We start from the raw sequence: 23054 nt of genomic DNA on the forward strand, positions 1-23054 counted from the left end.
CCAGTTTCATTCTTCTGCCTTTTGTTAACCAATTTTCCCATTATCATTTATTGACTAGGAAGTCCTTTCCCCAGTGTATGATTTTGTCTGTTTTGTTGAAGATCTGTTCGTTGTAGGGATTTGCTCTTATTTCAGAGTTCCTATTCTATTCCATCAGTCTGTGTCTACTTTTATATTAGCACCATGCTGTTTTTGTTACTACAGCCTTGTAGAATAATTTGAAGTTGGATAATGTGATGCTTCCAGATTTTTTCTTTTTGTTTAGGATTGCTTTGGCTATTCAGGCTGTTTTTTTAGTTCCATATGAATTTTAGGATTGTTTTTTCTAATTCTGTGAAAAATGACATTGTATTTTGGTAGGAATTGCATTGAATCTGCATATTGTTTTAGGCAGTATGGCTATTTCCACGATATTGATTCTTCCAATCTGTGAGCATATGGGATTTTTTTTTTCATTTGTCTGTGGCATCTACAGTTTCTTTCATCAGGGTGAAAACTAATTATTTTTTCTTGTAGTGTAATTGAGATACTTTGGGCTTTCATGTTTCTTTTTTTTTTTTTTTAATGTTTGTCCTGTTACATCCCACCACCAGGTTTTTTTTTATATATATATACTTTAAGTTTTAGGGTACATGTGCACTACGTGCAGGTTTGTTACATATGTATACGTGTGCCCTGTTGGTGTGCTGCACCCATTAACTCGTGATTTAGCATTAGGTATATCTCCTAATGCTAACCCTCCCCCCTCCTCCCACCCCACAACAGTCTCCGGTGTGTGATGTTCCCCTTCCTGTGTCCATGTGTTCTCATTGTTCAGTTCCCACCTATGAGTGAGAAGATGCGTGTTTGCTTTTCTGTCCTTGTGATAGTTTGCTGAGAATGATGGCTTCCAGCTTCATCTATGTCCCTACAAAGGACATGAACTCATCATTTTTTATGGCTGCATAGTATTCCATGGTGTATATGTGCCACATTTTCTCAATCCAGTCTATCATTGTTGGACATTTGGGTTGGTTCCAAGTCTTTGCTATTGTGAATAGTGCCACAATAAATATACGTGTGCATGTGTCTTTACAGCAGCATGATTTGTAAACCTTTGGATATATACCCAGTAATAGTATGGCTGGGTCAAATGGTATTTCTAGTTCTAGATCCCTGAGGAATCGCCACACCAACTTCCACAATGGTTGAAGTAGTTTACATTCCCACCAACAGTGCAAAAGTATTCCTATTTCTCCACATCCTCTCCAGCACTTGTTGTTTCCTGACTTTTTAATGATTGCCATTCTAACTGGTGTGAGATGGTATCTCATTGTGGTTTTGATTTGCGTTTCTCTGATGGCCAGTGATGATGAGCATTTTTTCATGTGTTTTTTGGCTGCATAAATGTCTTCTTTTGAGAAGTGTCTGTTCATATCCTTTGCCCACTTTTTGATGGGGTTGTTTGTTTTTTTCTTGTAAATTTGTTGGTGTTCATTGTAGATTCTGGATATTAGCCCTTTGTCAGATGAGTAGATTGCAAAAATTTTTTCCCATTCTATAGGTTGCCTGTTCACTCTGATAGTAGTTTCTTTTGCTGTGCAGAAGCTCTTTAGTTTAATTAGATCCCATTTGTCAATTTTGGCTTTTGTTGCCACTGCTTTTGGTGTTTTAGACATGAAGTCTTTGCCCATGCCCATGTCCTGAATGGTAGTGCCTAGGTTTTCTTCTAGGGTTTTTATGGTTTTAGGTCTAACATGTAAGTATTTAATTCATCTTGAATTAATTTTTGTATAAGGTGTAAGGAAGGGATCCAGTTTCAGCTTTCTATATATGGCTAGCCAGTTTTCCCAGCATCATTTATCAAATAGGGAATCCTTTCTCCATTTCTTGTTTTTGTCAGCTTTGTCAAAGATCAGATAGTTGTAGACATGTGGCATTGTTTCTGAGGGCTCTCTTTTGTTCCATCGGTCTGTATCTCTGTTTTGTTACCAGTGTCATGCTGTTTTGGTTACTGTAGTCTTGTAGTATAGTTTGAAGTCAGATAGTGTGATGCCTCCAGCTTTGTTCTTTTGGCTTAGGATTGACTTGGCAATGCGGGCTCTTTTTTGGTTCCATATGAATTTTCAAGTAGTTTTTTCCAATTCTGTGAAGAAAATCATTGGTAGCTTGATGGGGATGGCATTGAATCTATAAATTACCTTGGGCAGTATGGCCATTTTTACGATATTGATTCTTCCTATCCATGAGCACAGAATGTTCTTCCATTTGTTTGTATCCTTTTTTATTTCCTTGAGCAGTGGTTTGTAGTTCTCCTTGAAGAGGCCCTTCAATTCCCTTGTGAGTTGGATTCCTAGGTATTTTATTCTCTTTGAAGCAATTGTGAATGGGTGTTCACTCATGATTTGGCTCTCTGTTTGTCTGTTATTTGTGTATAAGAATGCTTGTGATTTTTGCACATTGATTTTGTATCCTGAGAATTTGCTGAAGTTGCTTTTCAGCTTAAGGAGATTTTGGGCTGAGACAGTAGGGTTTTCTAAATATACAATCATGTCATCTGCAAAAAGAGACAATTTGTCTTCCTCCTTTCCTGATTGAATGCCCTTTATTTCCTTCTCCTGCCTGATTGCCCTAGACAGAACTTTTAACACTATGTTGAATAGGAGTGGTGAGAGAGGGCATCCATGTCTTGTGCCCAGTTTTCAAAGGGAATGCTTCCAGTTTTTGTCCATTCAGTATGATATTGGCTGTGGGTTTGTCATAGATAGCTCTTATTATTTTGAGATACGTCCCATCAATACCTAATTTATTGAGAGTTTTTAGCATGAAGGGCTGTTCAATTTTGTCAAAGGCCTTTTCTGCATCTATTGAGATAATCATGTGGTTTTTGTCTTTGGTTCTGTTTATATGCTGGATTACATTTACTGATTTTCATATGTTGAACCAGCCTTGCATCCCAGGGATGAAGCCCACTTGGACATGGTGGATAAGCTTTTTGATGTGCTGCTGGTTTCAGTTTGCCTGTATCTTATTGAGGATTTTTGCATCAATGTTCATCAAGGATATTGGTCTAAAATTCTCTTTTTTTGTTGTGTCTCTGCCAGGCTTTGGTATCAGGATGATGCTGGCCTCATAAAATGAGTTAGGGAGGATTCCCTCTTTTTTTATTGATTGGTATAGTTTCAGAAGGAATGGTACCAGCTCCTCCTTGTACCTCTGGTAGAATTCGGCTGTGAATCCATCTGGTCCTGGACTGTTTTTGGTTGGTAAGCTATTAATTATTGCCTCAATTTCAGAGCCTGTTATTGGTCTGTTCAGAGATTCAACTTCTTCCTGGTTTAGTCTTAGGAGGGTGTATGTGTCGAAGAATTTATCCATTTCTTCTAGATTTTCTAGTTTATTTGCATAGAGGTGTTTATAGTATTCTCTGATGGTAGTTTATATTTCTGTTGGATCGGTGGTGATATCCCCTTTGTCATTTTTTATTGTGTCTATTTGATTCCTCTCTTTTCTTCTTTATTAGTCTTGCTTGTGGTCTATCGATTTTGTTGGTCTTTTCAAAAAACAAGCTCCTGGATTCATTGATTTTTTGAAGGATTTTTGTGTCTCTATTTCCTTTGATTCTGCTCTGATCTTAATTACTTCTTGCCTTCTGATAGCTTTTGAATGTGTTTGCTCTTGCTTTTCTAGTTCTTTTAATTGTGATGTTAGGGTGTCAATTTTGGATCTTTCCTGCTTTCTCTTGTGGGCATTTAGTGCTATAAATTTCCCTCTACACACTGCTTTGAATGTGTCCCAGAGATTCTGGTATGTTTTGTCTTTGTTCTCATTGGTTTCAAAGAACATCTTTATTTCTGCCTTCATTTCGTTTTGTACCCAGTAGTCATTCAGGAGCAGGTGTTCAGTTTCCATGTAGTTGAGCAGTTTTGAGTGAGTTTCTTAATCCTGAGTTCTAGTTTGATTGCACTGTGGTCTGAGAGATAGTTTGTTATAATTTCTGTTCTTTTACATTTGCTGAGGAGTGCTTTACTTCCAACTATGTGGTCAATTTTGGAGTAGGTGTGGTGTGGTGCTGAAAAGAATGTATATTCTGTTGATTTGGGGTGGAGTGTTCTGTAGATGTCTATTAGGTCTGCTTGGTGCAGAGCTGAGTTCAATTCCTGGATATCCTTTTTAACTTTCTGGCTCATTGATCTGTCTAATGTTGACAGTGGTGTATTAAAGTCTCCCATTATTATTGTGTGGGAGTCTGAGTCTCTTTGTTAGGTCACTAAGGACTTGCTTTATGAATCTGGGTGCTCCTGTATTGGGTGCCTATATATTTAGGAAAGTTACCTCTTCTTGTTGAATTGATCCCTTTACCATTATGTAATGACCTTCTTTGTCTCTTTTGATCTTTGTTGGTTTAAAGTCTGTTTTATCAGAGACTAGGATTGCAACCCCTGCCTTTTTTTGCTTTTCATTTGCTTGGTAGATCTTCCTCCATCCCTTTATTTTGAGCCTATGTGTGTCTCTGCACGTGAGATGGGTTTCCTGAATACAGCACACTGATGGGTCTTGACTCTTTATCCAATTTGCCAGCCTGTGCCTTTTAATTGGAGCATTTAGCCCATTTACATTTAAGATTAATATTGTTATGTTTGAATTTGATCCTGTCATTATGATGTTACCTGATTATTTTGCTTGTTAGTTGATGCAGTTTCTTCCTAGCCTTGATGGTCTTTACAATTTGGCTTGTTTTTAAAGTGGTTGGTACTGGTTGTTCCCTTCCATGTTTAGTGCTTCCTTCAGGAGCTCTTTTAGGGCAGGCCTGGTGGTGACAAAATCTCTCAGCATTTGCTTGTCTGTAAAGTATTTTATTTCTCTTTCACTTATGAAGCTTAGTTTGGCTGGATATGAAATTCTGGGTTGAAAATTCTTTCCTTTAAGAATGTTGAATATTGGCCCCTACTCTCTTCTGGCTTGTAGAGTTTCTGCCCAGCTATCATCTTGTTAGTCTGATGGGCTTCACTTTGTGGGTAACCTGACCTTTCTCTCTGGCTGCCCTGAACATTTTTTCCTTCATTTCAACTTTGGTGAATCTGACAATTATGTGTCTTGGAGTTGCTCTTCTCGAGGAGTATCTTTGTGGCGTTCTCTGTATTTCCTGAATTTGAATGTTGGCCTGCCTTGCTAGATTGGGGAAGTTCTCCTGGATAACATCCTGCAGAATGTTTTCCAACTTGGTTCCATTCTCCCCATCACTTTCAGGTACACCAATCCGACGTAGATTTGGTCTTTTCACATAGTCCCATATTTCTTGGAGGCTTTGTTTGTTTCTTTTTATTCTTTTATCTCTAAACTGCTCTTCTCACTTCTTTTCATGCAGAAAGGTCCTTAGAGGACCTGATGGAGCTGAAAGCCGTGGCACAAGAACTATGTGATGAATGCACAAACCTCAGTAGCCAATGCGATCAACTGGAAGAAAGGGTATCAGTGATGGGCTTTCACTTTTCTAAAAAAAATTTTCGCATAGTTTTTGTGGACTTAGGGTTGAATTATAACCGGATAGATTTACTTGGGAAAAAAATAGCAAGTTTGCATCACTGGGTTTTGCAAACCATGAACTTTCTATATCTTTCTTTTTATTTAGATTTACTTCAATTTTTATAAAAATTGTTGCATCTCTTTTTTTCTGTAAAGTTCTTGCACACATTTTGTTAAATAAATCACTGAGTGCTTGAAGTTTTTCATGCCATTTTCATGTCAGTTGTGATATATGTTATTTTTAGATTTTAATACAATTTATTTTTACATTGATTTTGCTTCTGACAATTCTATTAGAATATCTTATTAATGTTATAACTTATTTGTCGATTATTTTGAGTTTTCAACATATGCATCATATTCTCTTCGATTAAATGTAAACTTTTTGTGTTGTTCTAAATGATATACCTTTTACTGGTTTGTCTTGTCTTGGTTAACTTGCTAGGCATCTCTGTATTATGTTGACTAAAGAGTAAAATTGGGAATCCTTGAGGTCTTAACTTCACAAGGAAATAATTTTTATTTCATATTTAGAATGTTTTCTGTGGGTTTTCTTTTTGTAGATTCCTTTTTATTTTCTAGGTTACCAACATGGTTTGCTTCACTTTGTTTATTTTCATTTGTTTTTGTTATGCTTGTTTTTTAGTGGATGGTGATGTAATAACCCATACTCTGAATAATATCATGGAATTTTATTGTCATACTGTTAAAAAAGAAAAAGCAAATATTGATGTGTATAAATAATATTATTTTATTAATATAAATTCATAAACACACAAAATTAATCTATATCAATATGTCAGAATAGTAGTCACCCTTGAAGTTTACTGACTGGGAGGAGGCATAGTATGTGCTGCTGGGTAATATTTGATAATAACTAATATGTTAAACTTGTTGGTTTATGTACAAGTTTGTTCACTTTATTGAGTTGAACTCTTAATTGTGCACTTCGTTGCATTTAAGTTATATTTCAATTAAAATAATCTAAAAGAATGAAAGAAATGTGGATTCCTTGGCAGCACTTAGAAAAATCCACATTTTTAAGAAAGTGTTACAGTTAGATTCCATGCACACAGTTCTTGGGACAGCGTTTGGCACGTAGAGTATTTTTTGTGGATGAACAGCTAGGTGTGGGAGTAAAGGAAAGGGAATGGAAGGTACAAACTGTCTATATGTGGATATGATGTTGATGAACACCACACATATGTTCATCCGGTGTGATGAACATCACACAGATGTTCATCCGGTGTGATGAACATCACACAGATGTTCATCCGGTGTGAAGAACATCACACAGATGTTCATCCGGTGTGAAGAACATCACACAGATGTTCATCAGGTGTGAAGAACATCAGATGTTCATCAGGTGTGATGAACCCAACAAAGCCTTGCCTTATCCTGTGGGAGCTTTGGCACACATGTGACATACAGTCTCTGAATTGATCCCCTTGGGCCAGATCTTTGTATCCATGCCCAATTAGTTAGATGAGCACCCTGGTTCCATGTAGCTGAAGCCAATGCGGAAGAAGTTGACAACCTGGAGAATAAGATACTCCTTGAAGGGGGATTGGTAGCATGCATATACATCTTCAAGGACTATTATACATATAATTACTGGTAAGAGTGCAAATTGGTAGAATTACTTTAGAGAGTAATTTGGGAATAGCTACCCTAAGAAAATATAACTTATGACACAGCAATATTGTTTCTGAAAATTTATATTTAAAAAGATCATAAACATATAAATTTGGATATATTTGAAGTATTAATTATAACAACAAAAGACTGGAGACTCTTAAATGTCCATTAATAACTATTTGGTAATTAATTATAACATATTTTAAAAATCACACCATACAACCATTAAAAATACTAAGTCATTTTAATATATACTTATATTTTACAAATACTTCTATCTCTAAAATAGAATCTTTCAGGAAAATTGAACAAGGACTACACAGTAGTCATAATTTGAAATCATATATATAAGAAGTACATGTGTGTGTCTCTATTACATATGAACATGCAAGTACATTACTATTTCTTAAGGATTCAAACAAATGAAGACTTGGCAGTGGTTACTTTAGGTGGGAAAACAGAGAGTGGCATGTGGAGATTTTTTTTAAAGTATCTTTTAAATCACCTTAGGTAAACATATTATAAAATCAAATACCATTATATTTAATTAATCACAACATGTTTTAATATAGAAATGGATGGCTAAAATATGTTGGCATGATTTCTATTTTGTGATCAACAAAGTATCTAAAATTTTATAATCATCAAGTATCTGTTTTTGTCTCTGCCTTTCTCTCTTTGTAGGTAGATTAATAGATACATATATTTACAAGATATAGTTACCCATATATACAGATAATATGTAAATATCATATGTAAATATATCTGTGTTTTGTGTATTTATATATGTAAATCTTTAACGCACATACTGTGGATTACATATATATTATTTCCCCTTACAAATATCTCTATATTACTTCAAGAGATAGATTATATTGGACCTAAAAATGAACTGAAATGTATTATTGAGATTCATTCTCATTGTTTTATGGCATATTTTTAGAAGAATTATCATTGTCAAGTATGCGTTTTGGTGTATACTTTTTCTTCAATAATTATTTTAAACATTTCTGGCAATCTTAATATTTTACGCTCTTTGTTTCATGAAATGATACACTTTCAATGTATTTTCAGTTTTCAATTATGGATGTCTTTCTCATTTACAATTATCTTAGACTTCTCAAAGTTTTCATTATGCTATATTGCATGTAGTGTTACAGAAGTACAAACACTATGGAGAATTAATGATCTAGGGAATGGTCTAATTTCTGCCTCTAATGATGCACGGTTAGAATGCTTAATTCAATTCCCAGAGTGTAAAAAATCAAGAATGGAGTTTTCTTTATGAAAATCACATTCTATATCAATTTAAGCATTAGAATCTCATGCTAATGCCACTTTCATTTCATCCAACAAGTGAGATAATAGAGTTGCTTTGTAAACTGCAATTATTAAAAATATAAATGGCTTCTGTAAGATTGATTTTTATCGATTAGTTTCACAAATACCTTTTAAATATGTAGCCTGGCACTGAATTAGACACTAGTGCAGTAAAATGCAGTGTGGATTTAAGAGTGTGGTGGGGAAGAGCACAAGGAAAGCATCAAATCAATCAAACTAGAAACCTAAGGTAATTGATATGACTGATGTATGTCTTCAGATTGCTGTGATTTTGTAGCATCTCTCTATATGGAAGGATATTATTTGAGTCCTGGTTATTCCACATAGCACTATTGTGGCCTAGAAAACTAGACCATGTATTGTTTGTTTCTTTGTCAAATACGTGTATTGTTAGGAAATATCATGTGGGTTTGCATACACTAAATAAATTTCTATTTATGTAGTAATTAGGAGCTCAAACATGTTAATCACTCCCAGTCCAACTCCCACCACCCACATACACACACACAGTCATGTACACTAAAAAAAAAAAATTCTGGAAAATGGTGTAGCAAATTGATTCGAAAGGAGCAAGTGTGGACGTTAAGAGGCTGCTTGTTATACATTTCATTATCTCAGTGTCAGAGGTGATGAGGTCTTAGCACTAAGCAGCAGTGATTGTAGTGGTAAAGATTAAATGAAATGGGCCTTTTTCTGTGAATGTTAACATGAAAAAAAAAACTTTACATATTTTCAGATTTACAAAACAAGTGGAAAACTTGTTCAGAGAATTCCTATACACTCCTCACTCAGTAATCCACACTTGACATCTTACACAATTATCATTACAATTTTGTCAAAAAGAGCTTCTAGGTCACAAAATAATCAATCGAGTAAAAAGTTAACCTACAGAAAAGGAAAACGTACTTGCAACCCATATATCTGATAGCAGGTTAATATCCAAAATATATAAAAAGCTCAAATAACTCAATAGCAAAAAATAATCTAATAACACAGTTGAAGAAAATGGCCTAAGTGCTTCAATAGATATTTCTCCAAAAAAGACAAACAAATGGCCAATAGTTATATTAGAAATCAATATCACTATTCATTAGAGGAATGTAAATCAAAACCAAAAAGGGATTATGTCACCTAATGTGCTAAGATAGCTGATATATATATATATATATGGCTATTATATATATGTATGTTTTATGGCTATTACATGTATAAACACACACACACATACATGACAAGAATTAGCAAGGATGTGGAGAAAAGGGAATTTTTATATACTGTTCATAGGAATGCAAAATGGTGCAAGTGATATGGAAAACAATATGGTGGGTCATCAAAAAATTAAAAATAATATTACTGTATGATCCAGCAATACCGCTTCTCAGTATTATATCCAAAATAATTGAAATCAGGATCCCAAGGGTATATCTGTATTCCATGTTTATTGCAACACAATTCACAATAGGCAAGATGTATTACAACCTAAATATTCATCAACAGATGAATAAATAAATTGTTGTATATACATACATACAATAGAATACTATATTGCCATATAAAATAAGGAAATTCTGTAACTACGACAACATGGATGAAGCTTGAAGACATGATTTTATGTAAAATAAGCCAGTTGCAGAAGGGCAAATGCTGCATGGTTCACATACGTGAAGTGTCTGTAATAGCCAAATTTATAGTTTGAAATAGTGGAATGGTGGTTGCTAGGGGCTGGGCAAAGTGGGAATTAAGAAGTCACTAATCAGTGGGCATAAAGTTAATAAATTCCATAGATCTGTTTTAAAACATTGTATTCATAGTTAACAATACTGTATTGTGCACTTAAAAATCTGTTAGGTAGGTACATCTCATGTTAAGTGTTCTCATTAAAATATTCACACAAAAAACATTGGTACATTACTACAACTAAACTCCAGTCTTTATTTGAATTTCATCTTTTTTTTTTTTTGTTCTGGGGTACATGTGCAGAACGTGCAGGTTTGTTATATAGGTATACACATGCCATGGTGGTTTGCTGCACCCATCAACCCATCGTCTACATTAGATATTTCTCCTAATGCTATCCCTCCCCTAGACCCCACCCTGCAACAGTCCCTGATGTATTATGTCCCTCTCTCTGTGTCCATGTGTTCTCATTGTTCAACTCCCAGTTATGAGTGAAGACGTGCAGTGTTTGGTTTTCTGTTCTTGTGTTAGTTTGCTGAGAATGATGGCCTCCAGCTTCATTCATGTCCTGGCACAGGACATGAACTCATTCTTTTTTATGGCTGCATAGTATACCATGGTGTATATGTGTCACATTTTCTTTATCCAGTCTATCATTGATGGGCATTTGGGTTGGTTTCTAGTCTTTGCTATTGTGAACAGTGCTGCAATAAACATACATGTGCATGAGTCTTTATAGTAGAATGATTTATAATCCTTTGGGTATATACCCAGTAATGTGATTGCTGGGTCAAATGGTATTTCTAGTTCTAGATCCCTGAGGAAGTGCCACGTTGTCTTCTATAATGGTTGAACTAATTTACACTCCCGCCAATGGTGTGAAAGCATTTCTATTTCTCCACAACCTCTCCAGCATCTGTTGTTTCCTGACTTTTTAATGATCACTATTCTAACTGGCATGAGATGGAATCTCAATGTGGTTTTGATTTGCATTTCTCTAATGACCAGGATGAGCTTTATTTCACGTTTGTCAGCTGCATAAATGTCTTCTTTTGAGAAGTGTCTGTTCATATCCTTCACTCACTTTTTGATGGAGTTGTTTGTTTTTTTCTTGTAAATTTGTTTAAGTTATTTGTAGATTCTGGATATTAGCTCTTTGTCAGACGGATAGATTGCAAAAATTTTCTCCCATTCTGTAGGTTGCCTGTTCACTGTGATGATAGTTACTTTTGCTGTGCAGAAGCTCTTTAGTTTAATTAGATTGCATTTGTCAGTTTTGGCTTTGTTGCCATTGCTTTTAGTGTTTTAGTTATGAAGTCTTTGCCCATGCCTATGTTCTGCATGGTATTGCCTAGGTTTTCTTCTAAGTTTTTTAAGGTTTTAGACCTAACGTTTAAGTCTTTAATCCATCTTGAGTTAATTGTTGTGTAAGGTGTAAGGAATGGATCCAGTTTCAGCTTTCTGCATATGGCTAGCCAGTTTTCCCAACACCATTTATAAAATAGGGAATCCTTTCCCCATTGCTTGTTTTTGTCAGGTTTCTATCAGATATCAGATGGTATTCAAAGAGAATATAACACCAAGGAATCCAACTTACAAGGTATGTGAAGGACCTCTTCAAGGAGAACTACAAACCACTGCTCAACAAAATAAGAGAGGATACAAACAAATGGAAAAACATTCCATGCTCATGGATAGGAAGAATTGATATTGTGAAAATGGCCATACTGCCCAAAATAACTTATATATTCAGTGCTATCCCCATCAAGCTACCATTGGCTTTCTTCACATAATTGGAAGAAAACTACTTTAAATTTCATATGGAACCAAAAAAGAGCCTGCATAGCCAAGACAAGCCTAAGCAAAAGAACAAAGCTGGAGGGATCACGCTACCCAACTTCAAAATATACTTCAAGGCTACAGTAACCAAAACAGCACGGTATTGGTACCAAAACAGATATATAGACCAATGGAACAGAACAGAGGCCTCAGAAATAACACTGCACATTGACTTTGAGAGTCTTAAGGAGTACTCTCTACATATCCTGTAGAGTACTCCCACGTCTGGGTTTTCCTGATAATGTTCTCATATTAAGCTGGGTTTACGGTTTTCAGCATAAGTAAATGACAAAAGCAAAGTGTCTCTCTTATAACATCATGTCAAGGGTACATGATACTCACATCATGATACCACTGGTCGTGGTAACTTTCATCCTGTGCTTAAAGTAGTTTTACATGTCCGATTTCTTCACTATGAATTTGAATGTGGAATTTGAAATGTAGTTGTATTCATACTAGCTATTTCTGAATTGTTCCTTATTTTTTTCCTATTCTCAAACTATGCTGTTGATGTTTTATTTGGTGAACATGTACAATTTCAATAATTCAAGAGTTAAAGGTAGTTAATGGAATAATTGTGGTGATGTAATTATCCCTAATAATTTAGAAGAAAATGTATCTATCATAATGACACAAGAGACAGCCAATTAATTGTGTTTGGAGGCCAACCAAGAAAACTCTAATTATACTCTGTAGTCATGGAGACAGATAAAACCCAGAGTTTAGTAGACATTATATTATAGATTTGGCTTTTTGTTTTTTCCTTGTATTGAGATTTCTTATATCCTAGAAATAAAATGCTATTTTGCTGGCACACTCATTGAAATGCACTACCGCTTTTAAAGCCTGCTGCTGTCTTAAAGAATGTTTGACTATTGAGAAGAAAAGTACCTGTTGTTCATTAATCAGAAAAATAGATTCTCAGAAAATTAATCAAGAGCTTCTGGCTTCAGGTTAGTTCATTTATCTTTTGCTATCTTTCAATTCAGGTGGAAAACATGGGAATCCAGTGCATATAGATTACCCTAAAAGTTAAATTGGCCTCTTTTTATGGCTAGAGACATTTTAATTTTCACTAACAAAGCATGAAGTATTCATTAGAATTACATTTTGTAATACAGACACCGCTAGTGGTGGCACTAGGGAACAATGGAGAAAAGTCTACAAAAACTTATGAGATATTTGTTGATTTTGAACTTCCCTGTGCCTGCTTTGTCTTGAGTACAAGCCTAATGACAACCCATTGATGTTTATGAAATGCTTTTGAAATAGCTAAGCCTTAAATATCAGGTCTCTTTCTGAGAATCTCTTTTGTTATTGACCTATTAACTGTGCCAAGTATCCCAAGCAGTGGTAGCAGCCTTCACTACTCTGGTCAAACGTTGAAGGGCAAACCATTCATTAGCATTGTGTAAATGATAATGAATGCTTAAAGTGAAATCACCCAGGCCCACTTGGTACTGGAAAGAATATGCTCATGATGAATGCTCTGTGTTGAGGGTTGCTTGTAGTGCATGTAAGGAAATGCATAGGACTGGAGCTTGGCACTCATTTCAGGGAAAGCTGAGAAGATGAAAAAAGAAATATACATGGATTTCTGCTGCATCGTCCTATTTTTATTCATGCTTTTTCACTCATAACAAGTCCATTTACTTTAGGTTTTATTATTTTCACTCCCCTGTCTTCTTAAAGTTTGTCTTATCATGAAAGAGAGATAACCGCTTGAGCTCAGAAGTTTGAGAACACCCTGGGCAACATAGTGAGACCCTGTCTCTAGAGAAAAATAAGAAATTATCCTAGTGTGGTGGTGCATGCCTGTAGTCCCATCTACTGAGGAGGATCACTTGAGCCTGGGAGTTCGAGGCTGCAGTGAGCATTGATCTTGCCACTGCACTCTAGCCTGGGTGACAGAGTGAGACCCTGTCTCAAAAACAAGCAAACAAAAATAAATAAATAGAAATAACTCCATATAAACAGTGCATGTTGAATGACTAGATTACAACCTTTGTTTATAATTTGATGTAGCCCACTGATTTTAGATTGGCTGTAATCTTTCATTCTTACCACTAATTTCAATAAAATTGCCTCAAGCTCAAAAAAAAAAAAAAAGAAAGAGAGATTATTTATTTCTTATTGGTTAAGAACATGTGTAATTTTCATTATACAACTTTCAGGGTATCAGAGAATATATTTTGTATGAAAATATTTTTGACAACTACAGATGTTTCTATTTTTCTAACATATTCTGTATTAGCACATATAGAATACATATTATGTGCATACATGTATACATATATATGTATATCTCAGAAGATGTGACCTAAAGCACATCAAGGAACAGGTAATGGAAATTTAATTAATTGACTTTATTTAATAAAATAATAAAAGTTCAGCAAATTGTCAAAATGCCCATAAAAACACTCCAGGAGGCAATGTACATTGATGAAAGTTTTAATGGAAGCTACATAAACATCTTAGAAATGGGCTTCCACAGCAAACTCTTGAGGATTAGGTGCAAGGCATAGGCTATATACATTTTATGGTTTATTTAAATTCTTAAATTCTACAATCATTTAATTCTGTGTTATGCCCAGCAAAGGTAGAAAATAGTAACATTTATGTGCCACCATTGGCGGTGCTAAATCACCTACTTGATCCTCAGTGTAATTTTTAGATCCATGAGAAGGTTTCCTTTGTGCTTCTCAGTTTTTAAAAATTGATTTTATGTCATAATATATATTTCAGTTCTATGTCAATCATACTAAAAATGGCTGACTTTTCAATAATAGAATGATTACTGTATATTTTCCATGTAAGTGGTGGTTTTTGCCCTTTAGCAGGCATCAAAATCACCTGGAGACTTGACTAAACCACAAATAGTGGGCCTCATCCCAGAGCTTCTGTTCAGAAGGTTGATGGAGCTGGAGAATTGGCAATAGTAGGAAGTTCCCAGGAGGTGATGCTACTGCTGGTTTGATGACCACATTTTGAGAATCACTGTTCTATATCACTTGTCCTAGAAACACATGAAGCCTCTTTCCTATCTCTTTTTTCCTATCCAGTTCTGCTTTTCAAGAATAACTTTTTTCCTTTTAATCCAACAAGTATCATGATGGCATCTGAAAGAAATCAAAGCAGCACACCCACTTTTATTCTCTTGGGTTTTTCAGAATACCCAGAAATCCAGGTTCCACTCTTTCTGGTTTTCTTGTTCGTCTACACAGTCACTGTAGTGGGGAACTTGGGCATGATAATAATCATCAGACTCAATTCAAAACTCCATACAATCATGTGCTTTTTCCTTAGTCACTTGTCCTTGACAGACTTCTGTTTTTCCACTGTAGTTACACCTAAACTGTTGGAGAACTTGGTTGTGGAATACAGAACCATCTCTTTCTCTGGTTGCATCATGCAATTTTGTTTTGCTTGCATTTTTGGAGTGACAGAAACTTTCATGTTAGCAGCGATGGCTTATGACCGTTTTGTGGCAGTTTGTAAACCCTTGCTGTATACCACTATTATGTCTCAGAAGCTCTGTGCTCTTCTGGTGGCTGGGTCCTATACATGGGGGATAGTGTGCTCCCTGATACTCACATATTTTCTTCTTGACTTATCGTTTTGTGAATCTACCTTCATAAATAATTTTATCTGTGACCACTCTGTAATTGTTTCTGCCTCCTACTCAGACCCCTATATCAGCCAGAGGCTATGCTTTATTATTGCCATATTCAATGAGGTGAGCAGCCTAATTATCATTCTGACATCATATATGCTTATTTTCACTACCATTATGAAGATGCGATCTGCAAGTGGGCGCCAGAAAACTTTCTCCACCTGTGCCTCCCACCTGACAGCCATCACTATCTTCCATGGAACTATCCTTTTCCTTTACTGTGTTCCTAATCCTAAAACTTCTAGCCTCATAGTTACAGTGGCTTCTGTGTTTTACACAGTGGCGATTCCAATGCTGAACCCATTGATCTACAGCCTTAGGAACAAAGATATCAATAACATGTTTGAAAAATTAGTTGTCACCAAATTGATTTACCACTGAATATGATGTTCTTAGATACGTTATTTCTGAAAAAAGTGATTTACTATCTTACAGATTACCCATCTCTTACAGTGCAATTGATTATTCAAATTATTTAATCAATAGACTATCAGTTGACACATTCACACCAGCACAACCTTTTGAAATAGATCTAAATGACATGTAACTAAAAATTCTAAAACCTAAAGCTTTTATATCATCTGTTGCAGTATTTGTAAATTATTTTAAAATACTTTTCTAGGTATTCTGTAATTTTATGTGTATTTTCAAAGCAAAACTGATTCAAACTGATTAAATGTGTGCAGATTCAGGATGGTTCCCTAAAATTGTAATCAGGAAAACCATATTCCTGAGTGACTTTAACAAAACTTCTGCTTACTGTGTCTTGTGGAACAACCAACCCTTTACTTTTTCTTGTTTTGAATGGAAGAAGTTGATTTTTATTCATGAAAATTATAGCCTGCTGATTAGCAAATGAAATGGAATTAAGTATTACTCTACCTTTCTTAATGCATGCCCTATTTTATTCTAAAAAATTATCTGAGTATTCAGGCAATGGGATATTAAGGTAACAGAGTCCTAAAATGAAGTCACACATATCTGGTAACTTATATTCCAACAAACAGGCCATTATAATTCAATGGAGAAAAATAATAATGGGAAAACTGGATATTCGTGTGGAACAAAAGAGCCATAAGTTTTATTTCCCATCATACAAAGCTACTAACTTGAATTAAATGAAATATATCATAAATCTAAATGTAAATGTTATAAGTACCTTTTAGCATAAAACATAGGGAGAATCTTTTCAAAGTTTGGGTGGAACTTTTTTGGATAGAATGTTAAAAGAATGGATCATCAGAAAATGGATAAAATGAATTTTATTAACAATAAAACCTTATGTTAAAAGTTTTTTTTATGGCAAAAGACACATTAAGAAAGTGAAAATGTAAGCTGCAGATTGTAAATAAATATTTGTAATATTTAGGTCTGACAAATGATTTGTTTGTGGAACATATAAAGAACTATTGTACTCAAAACAAGAAGACAAACCATCTAGTTAAAAATGGATTAAATGTTTTAGGACACACTTGACAAAAGAAGATACACAAATCATTCATAAACACCTGAAAAGATATTGAGTATCACTAATCATCAATGAAAGTTATATTAAAACCACAGTGACTGAGGAGGCTGAGGTGGTAAGATTGCTTGAACCCAGGAGTTCGGGGTTACAGTGAGCTATAATGCCACTGCAGTCTGGCCTGGGAGACTCTGTCTCAACACACACACAGACACACACACACACACACAGACACACACACACACACACACATACATACACACACAGAGTGATGTATAATTGAACACTCATTAGAATGGCTAAAATAAATTTAACTGAAATGCCAAGTGTCAGTGAAAAAAATGAATCAACTGTAATGCTAACACATTTCAGGTGGAGGTAAAAGTTAAGTCTTTGAAAACAATTTAGCAATATCTTATGAAATTACACAAAGACTTCCCATTTAACTCAATAATTCCTTTCCTGGGTATTTACCCATTAGAAGTGAAATCACATATTTTAATTTAGGAGAAAATTTTTCTCTCTGGGATGTACAATATTATAGGGAAGGGAAAAGAGTAGGGGATATTTTTGAGGATTTTGTGACCATGTTCCTTTCAAAAGTGATTTTCCTAGAAGCGATGGGTTTTCTTCCATGATGGACTTTTGCTATAGACTTACTCAGGGTAAACAGAGGGAAGCAGGAAAAATCTTGTCCAACACAGAGAAACTGATTTTATGAATACACATGCACATACACACATGAGTATATGTACAAGTGGAATCATATGTATAGCTGTATATGTATTGTTTATGGTATCATATACATATGCTAGGTAATCTCAATACATCTTCACCTGCATTATGTCTCTGATGACCTTCTATAATATCCACATTACCAAGTGTGATGGTTAATACCGAGTGTCAACTTGACTGGATTGAAGGATGAAAATGTAGCTCCTGGGTGTGTCTATGAGGGTGTTACCAAAGGAGATTAACATTTGAGTCTGGGAAAGGCAGGCCCACCCTTAATCTGGGTCAGCACCGTCTAATCAGCTGCCAGAGAGGCTGGGATATAAAGCAGGCAGAAAAATGTGAAAAGACTATAGACTGGCTTAGACTCTAGCCTGCATCTTTCTCCTGTGCTGGGTGCTTCCTGCCCTGGAACATCAGATTCCAATTTCTTCAGATTTGGGACTCAGACTGGCTTCTTTGCTTCTCAGCTTGCAGATGGTCTATTGTGGGAGCTTGTGATCGTGTGAATTAATACTACCTAATAAACTCCTCTTTATACACACACACACACACACACACACACACACACACACATCTTATTAGTTCTGTCCTGCTAGAGAATCCTAACTAATACACCAATCCTTTAAGAATGAGACTGATGGGCCCGTGCGGTGGCTCACACCTCTAATCCCAGCACTTTGGGAGGCCAAGGCGGGCGGATCGCCTGAGGTCAGAAGTTCAAGATGAGTCTGGCTAACATGGTGAAACCCCGTCTCTACAAAAAATACAAAAATTAGCTGGTCGTGCTGGTGGGTGCCTATAATCCCAGCTACTTGGGAGGCTGAGGCAGGAGAATCCCTTGAACCTGGGAGGTGGAGGTTGCAGTGAGCCAAGATAGTGCCACTGCACTCCAGCCTGGAAGACAGAGCAAGACTGTCTCGAAAAGAAAAAAAAAAGAATGAGACAGATGAAATATAATTGTCCTGTTGCAATAATTCAGGGTAGGGTTAATTCGTTGATAAATTAGTGTTTTTCACATTGATATGGGAAGATCCCATTGCATTCCTCATTGATCCTGAGAAAAGACAGTCTCTGTAAACATGAGTTGAAGTTTGGTGAGGAAAAGAAAATAATGATGCTTGGTTTTTAAATAGAAGGACTTTAGGACAATAGTTCATTATAAATGTCTTGGAGGGACTGCTGAAATAAAAGGGGGAAGACAGGTCTTCTGTGGAGGAGTAAAGAAGCCAGTAAAATACTCAGGCTAAAGAAACAAAAGTTGTCATAACATGCAGCCACCCCATAATTTACTTATACCTCTTGAGGATGGGCATCCTGGAGTTTTGATTGAGGTCTGACAGGTGTGTGGAATTCCTGGATAATATGGTAATTCTTTTCTTTTTTTTTTCTTGAGGAACCTCCTTACATTTTCCATAATGGCTGTACTGATTTATATGTCCACTAACAGTGTATCAGAGTTCCCGTAAATAACACATAATCTCAATAGTAAGTGGAATATAAAAATGTCAAACCCATGGAAGCAAAAAATTGAATAGTGAGAGATGGGGAAAGGGTAGATGGTTAAAGGAGGGAATATTGTTTCAAGTAGACAGTAGGAATAAGTTTTAGTGATCTATTGTAGAGCACAATGATCATAGTTAATAATAATGTATTATATATTTCAAAATTGCTGAAGGAGTAGATTTTAAATGTTTCAGTTAATTATAATGTATTGTAGCTAATAATTATTAATTTGAATAACAATTCTATTAGGTAGGTACAAAAGTAATTGTGATTTTTGCCTTTGAAAGTAATGTAATTAATAATAATGTATTGTATATTCAAAATTGCTGAAGGAGTAGATTTTAAATGTTCACTACAGGAAACTGATAAGTTTGTGATGTGAACATATGTGAATCAGCTTTATTTAATCATTCCATAATGTAAACATGTATCAAAACATCACATTCTACCCCATATATCTGTTTATAGAATTATTATTTCTCAATTAAAAATATAAATTGCCAAATAGATATTATTAGTATGTATTAATTATCTAGGAATAGATAATTAAAATTTCAAAGAGCAAAGAGATCTTCCTTGGTGATCTGGTAGTCACTAGCTGTTTTCTACACTGCACACATTTTATGATTCTTTGAACAGATTAAATTTCAGGTTTGGGCCTTGCAAAGGGCTGCTACTGGAGAAACAACAAATCCAGCAGTGCTTCGTGGACACACAGGAATTTACAGATAAACGGAAAAGTAACCAAAACATAGTTTGTTTTTTCTGCTAGTTCCTGAAGGCATAAACTTAGGTTATTTGAGATCTTTCTATGTTTTTAAACATAGCATTTATTACTATAAACTTTCCTCTTAGAACTGCTTTTGATGGATCCTATATATTTTGATATGTTGTTTCTATTTTTGTTTGCTCAAGATATTTTTAAATCTCTCTTTCTTTCGATTTCTTCTTTGATACATTGATTGTTGAGGAGCATCTTGTTTAGTTTCCACATATTTTTGATTTTTAAACTTTTCTTTTTTTATTGATTTTAATTGATCAATAAATGATTACCATTATTGTTTCTTACCATTGTGGTTGGGAAACTACTTGATATGATTAAAATCTTAAAGCAATCTAGGAAATGAAGGAAAAGATAAACATCTGAAAATAAAATCAATTAGAACTTCTGAAATTGAAAAACTCACTTAAGTAATTTCAAAACACAATTGAAATATTTATCAATAGACTGGACAAAGCAGAAGAAATAACTTTAGAGCTAGAAGGCTGGTCTTTGGAACTAATGCAGTCAGGTAAAAATAAAGAAAAAGAATTTACAAAAATGAACAAAGTCCTTGAAAAATACAGGATTATGAAATCTACAAAGCCTATGAATTATTGGCATGCCTGAGAGAGAAAAAGGAAAAGCAAACAACCTAGAAAACATACTTCAGGAAATAAAGAACATTTCCCTAATCTTGCTAGAGAAATAGACATGCCAAATTCTCAGCAGCAACCTTGCAAGCCAGAAGAATCTGGGAGCCTATTTTCAGCATTCTTAAAGAAGAGAAATTACAACCAAAAATTTCATATATCTTTAAACTAGGATTCATAAGTGAAGGAGAAATAAAAACTTTTCCAGACTAGCGAGCACTAAGGAAATGTGTTACCTCTAAATTAGCTTATAAGAGATCCTTAAGGGAGTTCTAAACATTGAAACAAAAGAATAATATCTGCTACCACAAAAATATCCTTAAGTACACAGCCCACAAACTCAATAAAGCAACCACACAATAGAAACTGCAAAGCAATCAACTAGCAACTTCATGGTAGGATCCAAACCTCACTTACCAACATTAACCTTGAATGTAAACATTCCACCTATATGCCACTGAGTGACAAATTGGATAAAACAAATAAGACCCATGTGACTATCAAATTGCTGTCCTCAAGAGACCATTCTCACATGGAACATAGATTCAAAGTAAAGGGTTAGAGAAAGATCTATCACATAAACAAAAAATAATAGAGAGCAGGGATCACTATTCTTACAACAAAGAAAACAGACTTTAAACTTACAACAGTAAAAAAGGATAAAGAATGACATTACATAATGATAAAGGATTCAATTCAAAAATAAAACTTAACTATCATAAATATATATGCACCCAATATTTGAGCCCCCATATTATAAAACATGCATTTCTAGACCTACAAAAAATGTAGATGGCCATGCAATAATAATGGGGGATTTCAACACCTCATTGACAATGTTATACAGATTATCAAGGCAGAAAACTAACAAAGAAATTCTGGATTTATTTGACACTTGAGCAATTGGACATAATAGACATCTACAAAATACTACACCCATCAACCATGGAATATAGATTTTTCTCATTTGTACACAGAACGTGTCCAAGGCTGTCCACATGCTTGAACGTAAAGCAAGTCTCAATACTTTTTTTAAACAATGAAAAGCATGTCAACCATACCTTTGAAGCACAGTGGAATAAATCAATACCAAGAAGATCTTTCTAAACAACACAATTACATGGAAATTAAACAACTTGCTTCTAAATGACTTTTGGGTAAACAATTAAATTAAGGCAGAAGTAAAAAAAAATTTTTTGAAATAAATGAAAACAGAGACACATACGGCAAAATCTCTAGGATGCAGCAAAAGCTGTGTTAAGAGGAAAGTTTAGTGTGCTAAAGTTAGAAAGATTTCAAATTCATGACCTAACATCACACCCACAGGAACCAGAAAAAGAACAAACTAATCCCAGAGCTGGCAGAAGAAAAGAAATAACTGAAATCAGAGCAGAACTGAATGAAACTGAGACTTAAAAACACGTGTAAAGAATCAAAGAAACCAAAATAGAATTCTTTGAAAGAATAAACCAGATAGATAGACTGCAAGCTAGATTAACAAAGAAAAAAGAGCAGATCCAAATAAGCACAATCAGAAATAACAAAATGACAACCAATCCCACAAAAATACAAAAGTTCTTCAAAGACTATTATCAACACCTTTTTGAAAACAAAATAGACAATTCAGAGAAAATGGGTAGAATCCTGGAAATGCACAACCTCCCAAGATTGAATCAGGAAGAAATCAAAACCCTGAATTGACTAATATCAAGTTCTGAAATTGAACCAGTAACAAAAAACCTACCAACCAAAAAATGTCCCAGATCAGATGGATTCACAGCCAAATTCTACCAGACATACAAAGAAGAGCTGTTACCAAGTCTACTGAAACTATTCAGGAAAATGGCAGAGCGGGGACTCCTCTTTATCCATTCTATATAACTAGTGTCACTCTGATACCAGTAAGTGGTGAGCAAACATTGAAAAAATAAAATTATAGGCCAATATTCCTGATGAACATAGATGCAAAAACCCTCAGCAAAATATTAGCAATCCAAATACAGCAGCACATACAAAATTAATTCAGCACCATGAAGTAGGCTTTTTTCCTGGGATGCAAGTTTGGATCAACATATACAAATCAAAAGTATGATTCACCACATAAACAGAATTGAAAACAAAACCATATGGTCATCTCAATAGATGGAGAAAAACCTTTTGATAAAATCCAACATCCCTTCATGATAAAAGCACTCAACAAACTATGTATCAAAGGAATACATCTTGAAATAATAACATCCACTGATGAAAAACCCAGAGCCAACA

At 34.9% G+C, this 23054-nt stretch overlaps 1 protein-coding gene across 1 annotated transcript; it reads left to right on the top strand.

The window, feature by feature from the left end:
- Window positions 1-15109: 15109 nt before the first annotated feature.
- OR5D13 (olfactory receptor family 5 subfamily D member 13) lies at window positions 15110-16054 on the top strand. The gene has a single exon (NM_001001967.1). It carries the CDS (start codon window positions 15110-15112, stop codon window positions 16052-16054), a length of 945 nt encoding a protein of 314 aa, NP_001001967.1.
- Window positions 16055-23054: the final 7000 nt, after the last annotated feature.

This window comes from Homo sapiens, chromosome 11, assembly GCF_000001405.40.
Source record: "Homo sapiens chromosome 11, GRCh38.p14 Primary Assembly".
Classification (NCBI taxonomy): Eukaryota; Metazoa; Chordata; class Mammalia; order Primates; family Hominidae; genus Homo; species Homo sapiens.

Coding starts and splice junctions, on each gene's coding strand:
- OR5D13 (NM_001001967.1), top strand. CDS start 15,110: ATGATGGCATCTGAAAGAAATCAAAGCAGCACACCCACTTTTATTCTC.